The sequence below is a fragment of the Homo sapiens genome, chromosome 10 (assembly GCF_000001405.40).
Source record: "Homo sapiens chromosome 10, GRCh38.p14 Primary Assembly".
Lineage (NCBI taxonomy): Eukaryota > Metazoa > Chordata > Mammalia > Primates > Hominidae > Homo > Homo sapiens.
In genome coordinates this window covers 23152152-23165038 of record NC_000010.11, presented here as the reverse complement: position 1 = coordinate 23165038, position 12887 = coordinate 23152152, and the positions used below count along the sequence as shown (strand labels likewise).

Genomic DNA, 12887 nt, shown 5'->3' with positions numbered 1-12887 from the left:
TACTGCATCCCTGGACTATCTCTCCCCCACTCACATCTCCTTCTTCCTCCCTTTTCCTCTTTTAAGAATGCTGTGATTTCTTAGCGCCCCCAGGATCACCCAGAATAATCTATTTTAAAGGCAGCTAACTAGCAACCTGAATTCCATCTGCAACCTTAATCTCCCTGCGCCTTGTCACCTAGCATAGTCACATGTTCCAGAGATTTGAGCGTGACCATATTTGGGGGCCATTATTCTCCCTGGCACAGACCTTGGGTAACGGGATGGTTAATTCATGTGCTGTGAGCTGCAAAAGAAAGAGAAGGCCAGGAGTGGAAGTAGGGGAGGACAGATTGAGCCTCCAGGGTATAAAAACAGCTTCCCCCACAACCCCACTTCTTCCTGGTGAGGCACAGAGCAAAAGAAGGTGAGCGAGCCCTGTAAATGATGCCGCTGCACATTGCAATCCCAGAAGCCACACCCTTGGGTTTCATGAAAAAGTTCCATGAACTTCCAGACATTTTCAGGCAACAGCTTGACTTGTTGCTGAGACACTGATATGCAGAGCGATTCTTCACGGTAGTGTATTTGAACCTTCTCTCCTTGCATCCCAGGAGAGACCTAGTCTGAATGTGGCCTCCAGGAGTGGAGGGACTAAAAACGCCAGAAGGAAGAACGAAAATGCTAGAAATCAGCCGTGTCCTAGCAGCTAAACTTGTGCCTTCTCTATACAGGTATCGGGCCTGAGCACATTACAGGCATTGCCTTAATCTTTGCAAAAGCAATCACTGTCTATTATTATCCTGATTTCGAAGTGAGGAAAAGAGAGACACCCTTGACCGTCACAGTCCTGCAGTCATGGTCAAACATGGAGGGCTGGAAAGGAGAGCTGGGCGCCTCTGGGTGTTTTGTCAGCCAATGGCTCTCTTTCTGAAGGAGGTTGCTTTTCTCTTTTTTTTTGAGATGGAGTCTCACTCTGTCACCCAGGCTGGAGTGCAGTGGTGTGATCTCAGCTCATTGCAACCTCTACCTCCCAGGTTCAAGAGATTCTCCTTCCTCAGCCTCCTAAGTAGCTGGGATTACAGGCACCTGCCTTCACACCCAGCTAATTTTTTGTATTTTTAGTAGAGATGGGGTTTCACCATGTTGGCCAGGCTGATCTTGAACTCCTGACCTCGGTGATCTGCCCACCTTCACCTCCCAAAGTGCTGGGATTACAGGTGTGAGCTGCCGAGCCCGGCCGGAGGTTGCATTTCTGTTGAATTTCCTCCACTTTTGCTCAGCAACACTAAGCGCATTTGGCTGTCGGCACACCCTCCCTGCCAGCCTGGCAAATGGAAGTGAGATGTCCTTACATTCCTAATTGAGCAGATTAAAAATGCCAGTTCCCAGGGGCTGATGGCAGAATTGCCCCCAATGCCACCTGGCCCCTTTGAGGCCCCAGTGATGCTGAAATGGGGCTGGGGGATCGGGGATGGCCAGGAGATTTAGCTCTCCTTTGTCCCCAAACTCTCTTGTTTGGGTGGGGCTGCATCTGTTGTGGGGGACGGCTGTCCTGTAATGAGGCCTGTGGCTTGGCTGTTTCAGCTCTCTGGCCTTGTTGGCACAGGACCAGCCTTTCTTGGGTGAGTGGGAGCCTCATGCCCTCTTTATGAAGGAGATTGGTCCAAATTCTTGAGATGGGCTCTCCAGACCTTTGTTCTGGGTCTTTATTTACAATTGTGGTTCTTATTGATCTCTCCTGGAATCCTCCACTACTAAGCTAAGGTGACTAACTGCTACCCACAGCAGTAGTTCAGTTTCTGCCATTTCCCATTTCAAATTATTTCATGTGTTTTGCCTCCCAGCTAAGTTTCTTTCCCTTTCCTTCCTTCCCTCCCTCCCTCCCTCCCTTCCTTCCTTCCTTCCTCTCTCTTTCTTTCTTTCCTTTTCTCTTTTTTTTTTTTTTTTGGATAGGGTCTCCCTCTGTCACCCATGCTGAAGTGCAGTGGTGTGATCATAGCTCACTGTAGTCTCAAACTCCTGAGCTCAAGTGACCCTCCCACTTTAGCCTCCCAAGTAGCTGGGACCACAGGTGCATGTGCCACCATGCCCTGCCATTTTTTTTTAATTTAATTTTTTGTAGAGACAGGGTTTCCCTGTGTTGCCTAGGCTGGTCTCAAACTCGACTTGTCAACTAGGTTTCTTGAAGGCAAGTACCATTCTCATCCTCTAATATACCTTCCTTCGGTCACCTCAGTGCTACAACCTACCAGGGACATAAATAATTGCTGGATGCAGGGGTGGGGTTGGCTGAATTATAGGAAAATTAAGTTGTTTACATTGATTTCCAATATATGTAGCTCTCTGGTAGAACTAATCAAAGCACCAGAAACTTCCGAGCAATACATATGAATCATAAAGCCATGCTTTATCAAAAATGCTTTTCCATTTCTAGATTTTATCCTTTAAAACATAAATTCATGTCAAAATTTTGTTTAGCTGCTGTGTCAGTAGATCTTTTATATCTTAAGAATTTGGTATGTTTTCTTCTTTCTGAAAATGAGAATTATTTAAATAATCCCATTGTCTTTCTGTCAGGTAGCTCAAAGGTAAAATCTAAACCTAGTCGGAGCAATAATTATACGTCACATTTTCCATTCTGTCCTCCTCAGGTTATTTTTGGTAAGGGATGGAGTGCAAATGGCAGAAGGTAAAACTGACGTTTTAGGAGGTGTTGAAAGCCAGAGATAAGGAAGCATGATTGGGAGGTGTTTAGAGATACTGTATCTGCTGCAATTTTGATTTCCTTCTCTTGAGGCTTGATTTCTGGCTCCCCCCAGCCTCATTTTCTTTTTTTGTTGGTGTGTCCTCGGGAACCCTGGCCATTTGTCACCAAGACATACCTACCCTGCCCCACGCTTCTAACCCCAAAAGCCCCAAACTAAAGAAATTTCTCACTCTAATCTCCACTGTCCCTGATGGGCACACTCCAGGGGCTGAAGTCACAGCCAGGGGACAGGGCATGGTGGCTCACACCTGTAATCTCAGCACTTTAGGAGGCCAAGGCAGGTGGATCACCTGAGGTCAGGAGTTTGAGACCAGCCTGGCCAACATGGTGAAACTCTGTTTCTACTAAAAATACAAAAATTAGCCAGGCGTTGTGGTACATGCCTGTAATCCCAGCTACTTGGGAATCTGAGGCACGAGAATCGCTTGAACCTGGGAGGCAGAGGTTGCAGTGAACCAAGATCGTGCCACTGCGCTCCAGCCTGGGTGACAGAGTCTCACTCAGTCTCAAAAAAAAAAAAAAAAAGTCACAGCCAGGCCTGAGAGCAGAAGCCCTGAGTCAAAAAATCTGAGGCCAGCTGGACTCTTCTGACACTGAATCCTTGGCAGTCACTGCGTTAAGATGTCAATTTTTCATGTTTATTTTTCCTAATAGTGAGTTTGGAGCTTTATTGACTCTCTAAAGCTCCTGACAGCCCCTGGAAGTTAAACTGCGAGAGAACAATCTTGAATTCAGTGACTTTAACTCTTTCAGCAGCTTGCCCTGAGCTTATGACATGCCAAAATCCTTCTGCAGCTCACTGGGGTCTGCTCAGCCATGTCTCTCCCATCCTGCTCTTGTGAAATGGAGTTTCGCTGACACCGCTGGCTCTTCCCTGGAGCTATGATACATTTCATCGGGTTGATTTGAGCCTGTTGTTCTAGCTGATGATGACTTTTCAACAGCTATATTGAGGTGTAATTAGCACATCATACAAATCACCTAGTTGAAGTGTAAATTTAATGACTTTGTATATTTAGTAGATTCGCAATATATTATATCCATCACCACAATCATGTTTAGAACATTTTTATTACCCTCAAAAGAAACCCCACACCTTGGCTGTCACCCCCAATCTCCTCATCCCCCCAGCTCCTGACAATCACTAATCTACTTTCCAGCTCTGTAGATTTGCCTCCTCTCGACATTTCATATAATGAGAATCATGCAGTGTGTGGTCCTATGTGACTGGCTTCTTTCACTAGCTTAATGTTTTCTAGGTTCACCCACACTGTGGATGTATCAGTACTTGATTCCTCCTTTTTTGCCAAATAATATTCCAGTCAGCAAGACCTCATTTCCCAGCAGTTAAATGTGGCTACATGACTAAGTTCTCCCCAAAGATGAGGCGTCAAGACAGTGAGTGTGCCTTCCCCATGTCTCTTTTGCCTTCCTGCTGGGTGCAGCCTGGACACAGTATGGCCCAGCCCCAGCCACACAGAGAAAAGGCCCTCAGGGATGGCAGAGCTCCACGATGGAAGATCTCAAGTCCCTGGATGACCACACGGAGCAGAGCTGCTCACTGACACAGAACACACACCCCAGACTATTACTTGAGTGAAAAACGCGTGCTTTTTGGTCTTTAAGCCATTATATTTGGAAGGGGTGTTCTCTTGTTCCAGTAGCTCAGCTTTTTGCCCTACCTAACACATTGAGGGAAGTAACATGTTACTCTAGTCAAGATTTTATTGGTTGTGAATTAATCAGCACACTTTGAGTATAGTCATTAAGCAGGTTGTGACCTGCATAACCATCCTGTCTCCATTCTCTGGTGTGGCTCTTTATGGTCTTACGGTTGTGTGCATAGGCTCTGGCATCAGGCTCCTGGGGTTCAAACCCCAGTCTCAGCTTCTACTACTCGTGTCCCTGGGCAAGTTACTTAATCCTCCTCATCCATCACCTTAGTTTTGCCAATTTAAAAATGTAGACACTTGTAGTGCCTATCCCCTGTTTCACAGCGCATTTCTGCAGATGAAATGAGTGAACACATCTAGTGCTTAGACCGAGACTGGCACCATGTAAATACCTGCTGTCTCTTAGTTCTTATTTATTATTTTACACCTTGTTCATAAAGATATCATTTATCCATAACATTGAATTACTCCTAGTGTGTGCATTGCATCCTGCTTGGTTCTGGGGCTAGGGAGAGTATTAAGACAAAATTCTTTTCTCAAGGAACTGACAGTTTAATAGGAAAGTCAGATTAAAAATAACTATGGAATTGAATTGGAGCTATAATATATTACAAAGTGTGTGCCACATAAGAGGAAAGATGTATTAGCCCCTCAGGTTGTGGGTAGAAAGGTAAGAGTGTCAAGAAAGAGGTTGGATTTTTTTTCTTTTTTTTTTTTTTTTTGAGACAGGGTCTCACTCTGTCACCCAGGCTGTAGTGCAGTGGCACGATCTCGGCTCACTGCAACCTCCACCTCCCAGGTTCAAGCGATTCTCCCACCTCAATCCCAGTTACCTCCCGAGTAACTGGGATTACAGGCACGCACCACCACGCCCAGCTAATTTTTGTATCTTCAGTAGAGACAGGGTTTCACCATGTTGGTCAGGCTGGTCTCGAACTCCTGGCCTCAGCCTGCAAAAGTGCTGGGAATACAGGCTTGAGCCACGGCGCCCAGCCAAGGATGGATATTTTAAGAACGTGGCTGAAATTCAGATACACCATTTTCCCAGCAGATCCTGGCCTTCAGAATGCCAATAATGGCAAATGCCAGTGGGCAAATGCTGTTGATCTGAACAGAGGGTCTCATAGGTCTGAAGCAGCACAGAACCAGGGAGGATGTGTTCGTCTAGAAACTTCCTAGCAGAGCTAACCCCCATCACAGCATAAGAAGAAACAGTCGGGCGCAGTGTCTCACGCCTGTAATCCCAGCACTTTGGGAGGCCGAGGTGGGCGAATCACAAGGTCAGGAGATCGAGACCAGCCTGGCTAACATGGTGAAACCCCGTCTCTACTAAAAATACAAAAAAATTAGCCGGGCGTGTTGGCAGGCGCCTGTGGTCCCAGCTACTCGTGGTCCCAGCTACTCGCAGTCCCAGCTACTCGGGAGGCTGAGGCAGGAGAATGGCGTGAACCCGGGAGGCGGAGCTTGCAGTGAGCCGAGATCGCGCCACTGCACTCCAGCCTGGGCGACAGAGCCAGACTCCGTCTCAAAAAAATAAATAAATAAATAAATAAAAATAAAAAATGAAAGAAGAAACAGTCACTGTCAAGGCTCCTTTGAAAGCAGATGCTTGAAATGTTCGTTGAAAATAGGAGAAAAGTGATCTGTTCAGTTGGGTAAGTTGTTTAGAATCCTAATTGGTTCTCGAATTCTCTCCCATCCCCTGGCAGGTCACTGTACTTGACCGGATTTTTTTCTCACTGTGTGTCCGCCGTTTCACTTTTTTTCCTAAGCCAAGATCTCTTTAATTATTCTATTCCCTATTAAGTGGGCAATTTTCACACTGTTAAAATACCTCGCCACAGCAGTATTATTTGTTTGTTCATAGTCTGTGGGCTAAGAAAATACGGAATGTGCATTTCTGGTGCTAGGATTACTTCTAATTTTTTAAGTGTCTCGGGTGGTGGGAGGGGAGGGAAGGGTGTTCAATGGGTTTGATTAAGCAGCTTCCCAAAGAGGAAAAGCAAAGCAGCAGTGAATGAAGGGTTCTAAAGCAGTCATTTGGCTCCCTCTGGTGGGCTCTTGCAGAACTCATCCCCCCCTCATAAACAATCCTGTCGCGCATCAACTCACTTATTTGGAAAATAGAAAAATGCAACGAAACAGTCTGTTAACACAAATCCTTGGCTAAATTCCAAGGATGAAGGAATTGACTGAGGACTTTAGGTCAATTTAGGCAGAGCTAAAGCAAAATTCAAGAGATACAATTGATTCAGTTCCACTCTATGCAAAATAGATATGGCATTTTAGCAATATTTGTATATTAATTTTGGTAGCTACCATTTTTCTTCCATAGTGCCTTAGTCTACAACACAAAGTCCATTCAATACATGTCAGGATCTTGCCTTCCCCCACCACCCCCCACAATTGCTCAAAAGACTTGTAAAGGTGAAGGTCGCCCTCTAATGGTTTGGATGAGTCACACATGTGAAATTTTTTGTCTTAGTTTAGACACCTCAAACAGAATCTACCGTTTAGAATTCGAGAACCCTCCTCCCACCGCTAATATTAGTTGCACATTTCTAGTTGGTTGATAAGGGATATTTAATAATTTTAAAACCACATTAAGTTAATGCATACTTTGCATTCCAACTCTGTGTGTGTGTGCGCGCGCGTGTGTGTGAAATTTCTAAACTACAGCTGGTCGGTGGGGTATGGATCACTGAGGTTTACCTGCCCTTGCTGTGGGAGGCGACAGGGGCTTTGCAGCTCAGCCCTGTCCTGACACAAGAATGCTGTGCCTCTCAGGTGTCTAGGGAGCCCACCCCCTGGACAACAGAAGCAAGTGTAGCAAGATCCCCCAAAGCTCCTGGGTGCTTATTTCCACCTGCGGGACCCTCTTCAGCCCCCAGGACTCTGCCCTCCCCGGTTGACCAGAGGACATTTCCTGCCTGCCTTTTTACGACGCTGCATAATTAATTACACGGGACCATCCGGTGCCTGGAGCTCACCGCTCATTATGATGACAGAGTCATGGGCCGTCAGGCAGGGGCATTTGTTTTTGGACGCACTTGGCTGCCCATAGTCCTTGACTCTAGTGTGCTTAGTGTGGCGGTGCAGTGAGGGCGTTCAGAGGCTGAGTTCTGCTGATTGCAGCAAGATGGACCATTCGCATCAGCTCAAGGTCATCTCGTGGGTGACCTCGCAAACCCAACCACCTGAGAGTTGGTCGCTCACGTTTAATGTAGTTCTTCCATTTTTAAAAATGTTTTGAAAGTACCTATCATGCACAAGGCCTTGTGCTGGACACTGCAGGAAGTTAAGATCAGTAAAAAGTCCCTAGTGGTAAGGAGTTTCCTTTCTAGTCTGGTAGAGAAGACAGGTTGTGCATTAAAGGCAAAATCCTTTGATCCACACAAAAGAAGTGCGCAGACCTGCACAGCACTGCTGTTTTGCTGTATTGAATTGTTCACAGGCCTGTGATTCCTAAATGAAAGATATTTTAATAGCTAGTTGGTTTCTTTCCCTTTCTTTCTCTCCCCTCATCCCTCCCTGCTTCCTTTCTATTTTTCTTCCTCCCTCTTTTCCTCCTTTCCTCTCTTTTTGTTTTTTCTCTTCCTTCCATCCTCCCTCCCTTCCTCTCTTCCTTCCTGTCTTCCTTATTTCCTTCCTTCCTGTCTTCCTTATTTCCTTCCTTCCTGTCTTCCTTAATTCCTTCCTTCCTGCCTCCCGCTCCTTCTCCCTTTCTTCCCTCCCTCTCTTTCCTTCTCCTTTCCTTTCTTTCCTTCTCCCTTCCTTTCTTTCCTTCTCCTTTCCTTTCTTTCCTCCCTTCTCCTTCCCTCCTTTTCCTTCTTCTTTCCTTCCTTCCATCCTCTCTCTCTTTCTTTTCAACAGGCACAGTGCCTGGCACGCTGTAAGCTTGTATTGACCAGAACAAATACATAGGAGGAAAATGGGGTTGGCTCTGGAGAAGGGCCGGCTCACACGTGCAGTGTGGGTGGAGGAAGTGGTGAAGGTGGGCGTCATCATCAGCACCGCACAGCCGAGTGATTGGGAATGCTCCTAATTAGGTCACAAAGGCCCCTCCAGATTTCTCTCGTTCCTACCCTCTGCGACTTTCCTGTTCCATGCAGTCTAGCCCAGCAGATGGATCGTTCTCATCTTGGTTTTTTTTTTTACATTGATTCCAGTTTGGTGCCGTTATGAATATGACGCTGCTATGACCTTTCTTGTTGTGTCTTGGTGCACATAGAGACAAATATTTGTGAGATATTTATCCAGAAGTAGGATGCATAGGTCCTAGGATCTGGGTACATTCAGCTTTGGTGGCTGGTACTTGTTCTGGTGGTCTATTGCTACCTAACAAATCACCCCAACATTCTGTGGTTTAAAACCACCACCATTTTATTACATCTATTCTGTGGGCTACAAATTCAGGCAGGCTCAGCTGAGCAGTTCCTCTCTCCCCTTGGCTCAGACTAAGATCATTTAAGTATTTGGCTATCAAGTGATCTGGAGGGTACCAGATGGCTTCACCCACACACCTGGTGCCTCAGCGGGGACAGCTGTGAGGCTGGGCTCAGCTGGAACTGCCGAGATCGTCCTCCATGAAGCCTCTCCAGCGTGGCCATCTCAGGATGGTGGGGCACCTTACAGCATAGCTGGCTCCCCCTGGAGCAAGTGTTCAAGAAGATGGAGGGGGAAGCCACAAGGCTGCTGCTGACCGAGCCTCAGAAGGCTTGCAGCGTCACCTCCGCCACGTTCTGCTTGTCACACAAGTCACCTAGGCCAGCTCAGATTCACAGGAATGAGAATTAGACTCTGCCTAATTCCAAATAGGAGAAGGAAAAAAGGATTTGTGGCAACCCTAATACTTCCCCAAGGTGGTCATGCCAATTTCCACACACGCCTGTAATTTATGGGACTGTGAGGGTGAGATTTTTTGTTTGTTTGTTTTTGTGAGACAGGGTCTCTCTCTGTCACCCAGGCTGGAGTGCAGTGGTGTGATTATAGCTCACTGCAGCCTCAATCTCCTGAGCTCAAGCAATCCTCCCATCTCTCAGCCTCCCAAGTAGCTGGGTCTACAGGTGCGCACCACCACACCCAGCAAATTCTGTGTATTTTTTGTAGAGATGGGGTTTCAACACATTGCTCAGGCTGGTCTCGAATTCAAGGGCTCAAACAATCTACTTGCTTTGCCCTCCCAAAGTGCTGCAATTACAGGCATGAGTCACCGTGCCTGGCTAGGGTGAGATTTGTAATAGGAACTTCTGTTGTAATGAACAAAGCCGTTTGCACGCCTCTGGAACCCCTGTCCTCTTTCCTTCCATCAGCTACAGAACAGACCTGCTTTCACTGCTTCTCAAGAATCTGCCTCAACCTCAACACGGTGAAACTTGAGGCGATTGAGTTACTTGGCTTAACTTCCTACCTCCTTGCCAACACATTCATCAGTTCCACATCCTCACCTCGTTCCTTCCCTCCCAGCTCAGGAGAATAAACCTCTGTTCCTCTCCAAGGCCAGTCCCTGACCCCGGCTTCAGCCTCCCCAAGCCCGACTCTGGCCCACCCACTCCCATCTTTCCTCAACCTTCAGTCTTTCCCCCTCTACTGCTTCTTTTCTCTCCAATGCAACCTTTAATGGGACTGTTTTAAAAAATTATCAAAAACTTAGACATATTCAGCTGTTTGCCCTTTTAATGTATTTTTAGCGATCAACTCTGAACTGTGAAGTTGATCTCAAATCCAACAGAGGGAAGGGCCCTAAGAGAAAAGAAGGGGGTGAGGGAGATATTTTAAGTAAAAAAAAAAGTATATAAAATATCTATTATATATATCATATTATATATAATATCTATCATATATCATATTATATATAATATCTATCATATATCATATATATAATATCTATCATATATCATATTATATATAATATCTATCATATATCATATTATATATAATATCTATCATATATTATATATAATATCTATCATATATTATATATAATATCTTATTTATTTTTTTATTTTTTTATTATTATACTTTAAGTTTTAGGGTACATGTGCACATTGTGCAGGTTAGTTACATACGTATACATGTGCCATGCTGGTGTGCTGCACCCACTAACTTGTCATCTAGCATTAGGTATATCTCCCAATGCTATCCCTCCCCCCTCCCCCCACCCCACAACAGTCCCCAGAGTGTGATGTTCACCTTCCTGTGTCCATGTGATCTCATTGTTCAATTCCCACCTATGAGTGAGAATATGCGGTGTTTGGTTTTTTGTTCTTGCGATAGTTTACTGAGAATGATGATTTCCAATTTCATCCATGTCCCTACAAAGGACATGAACTCATCATTTTTTATGGCTGCATAGTATTCCATGGTGTATATGTGCCACATTTTCTTAATCCAGTCTATCATTGTTGGACATTTGGGTTGGTTCCAAGTCTTTGCTATTGTGAATAATGCCGCAATAAACATACGTGTGCATGTGTCTTTATAGCAGCATGATTTATAGTCCTTTGGGTATATACCCAGTAATGGGATGGCTGGGTCAAATGGTATTTCTAGTTCTAGATCCCTGAGGAATCGCCACACTGACTTCCACAATGGTTGAACTAGTTTACAGTCCCACCAACAGTGTAAAAGTGTTCCTATTTCTCCACATCCTCTCCAGCACTTGTTGTTTCCTGACTTTTTAATGATTGCCATTCTAACTGGTGTGAGATGGTATCTCATTGTGGTTTTGATTTGCATTTCTCTGATGGCCAGTGATGGTGAGCATTTTTTCATGTGTTTTTTGGCTGCATAAATGTCTTCTTTTGAGAAGTGTCTGTTCATGTCCTTCGCCCACTTTTTGATGGGGTTGTTTGTTTTTTTCTTGTAAATTTGTTTGAGTTCTTTGTAGATTATGGATATTAGCCCTTTGTCAGATGAGTAGGTTGCGAAAATTTTCTCCCATTTTGTAGGTTGCCTGTTCACTCTGATGGTAGTTTCTTTTGCGTGCAGAAGCTCTTTAGTTTAGTTAGATCCCATTTGTCAATTTTGGCTTTGGTTGCCATTGCTTTTGGTGTTTTAGACATGAAGTCCTTGCCCATGCCTATGTCCTGAATGGTAATGCCTAGGTTTTCTTCTAGGGTTTTTATGGTTTTAGGCCTAACGTTTAAGTCTTTAATCCATCTTGAATTGATTTTTATATAAGGTGTAAGGAAGGGATCCAGTTTCAGCTTTCTACATATGGCTAGCCAGTTTTCCCAGCACCATTTGTTAAATAGGGAATCCTTTCCCCATTGCTTGTTTTTCTCAGGTTTGTCAAAGATCAGATAGTTGTAGATATGCGGTGTTATTTCTGAGGGCTCTGTTCTGTTCCATTGATCTATATCTCTGTTTTGGTACCAGTACCATGCTGTTTTGGTTACTGTAGCCTTGTAGTATAGTTTGAAGTCAGGTAGTGTGATGCCTCCAGCTTTGTTCTTTTGGCTTAGGATTGACTTGGCGATGCGGGCTCTTTTTTGGTTCCATATGAACTTTAAAGTAGTTTTTTCCAATTCTGTGAAGAAAGGCATTGGTAGCTTGATGGAGATGGCATTGAATCTGTAAATTACCTTGGGCAGTATGGCCATTTTCACGATATTGATTCTTCCTACCCATGAGCATGGAATGTTCTTCCATTTGTTTGTATCCTCTTTTATTTCCTTGAGCAGCGGTTTGTAGTTCTCCTTGAAGAGGTCCTTCACATCCCTTGTAAGTTGGATTCCTAGGTATTTTATTCTCTTTGAAGCAATTGTGAATGGGAGTTCACTCATGATTTGGCTCTCTGTTTGTCTGTTGTTGGTGTATAGGAATGCTTGTGATTTTTGCACATTGATTTTGTATCCTGAGACTTTGCTGAAGTTGCTTATCAGCTTAAGGAGATTTTGGGCTGAGACGATGGGGTTTTCTAGATATACAATCATGTCATATCTATCATATATAGATATATCTATATATGATATATATAGCAATAGATATATATAGATATATATAATATATGATTCTATCATATATTATATTTTATATATCTATCATATATTATATTTTATATATCTATCATATATTATGTTATATATAATATCTATCATATATTATGTTATATATAATATCTATCATATATTATATTATAAATATCTATCATATACTATATTATATAATATCCATCATATACTATATTATATATAATATCTATCATATATTATATTATATAATATCTATCATATACTATATTATATATAATATCTATCATATACTATATTATATATAATATCTATCATATACTATATTATATATAATATCTATCATATATTACATATAATATCTATCATATATTACATATAATATCTATCATATATTACATATAATATCTATCATATATTACATATAATATCTATCATATATTATATATAATATCTAGCATATCTTATATATAATATCTAGCATATATTACA

General features: G+C 43.5%; 1 annotated feature.

The window, feature by feature from the left end:
- Positions 7565-7754: an enhancer, noted in NCBI's record as "active region_3150". NCBI's record gives its function as "activates an Ori minimal core promoter by ATAC-STARR-seq in GM12878 lymphoblastoid cells {active_cell/tissue: GM12878}" and the evidence as "EXISTENCE:reporter gene assay evidence [ECO:0000049][PMID:35858748]".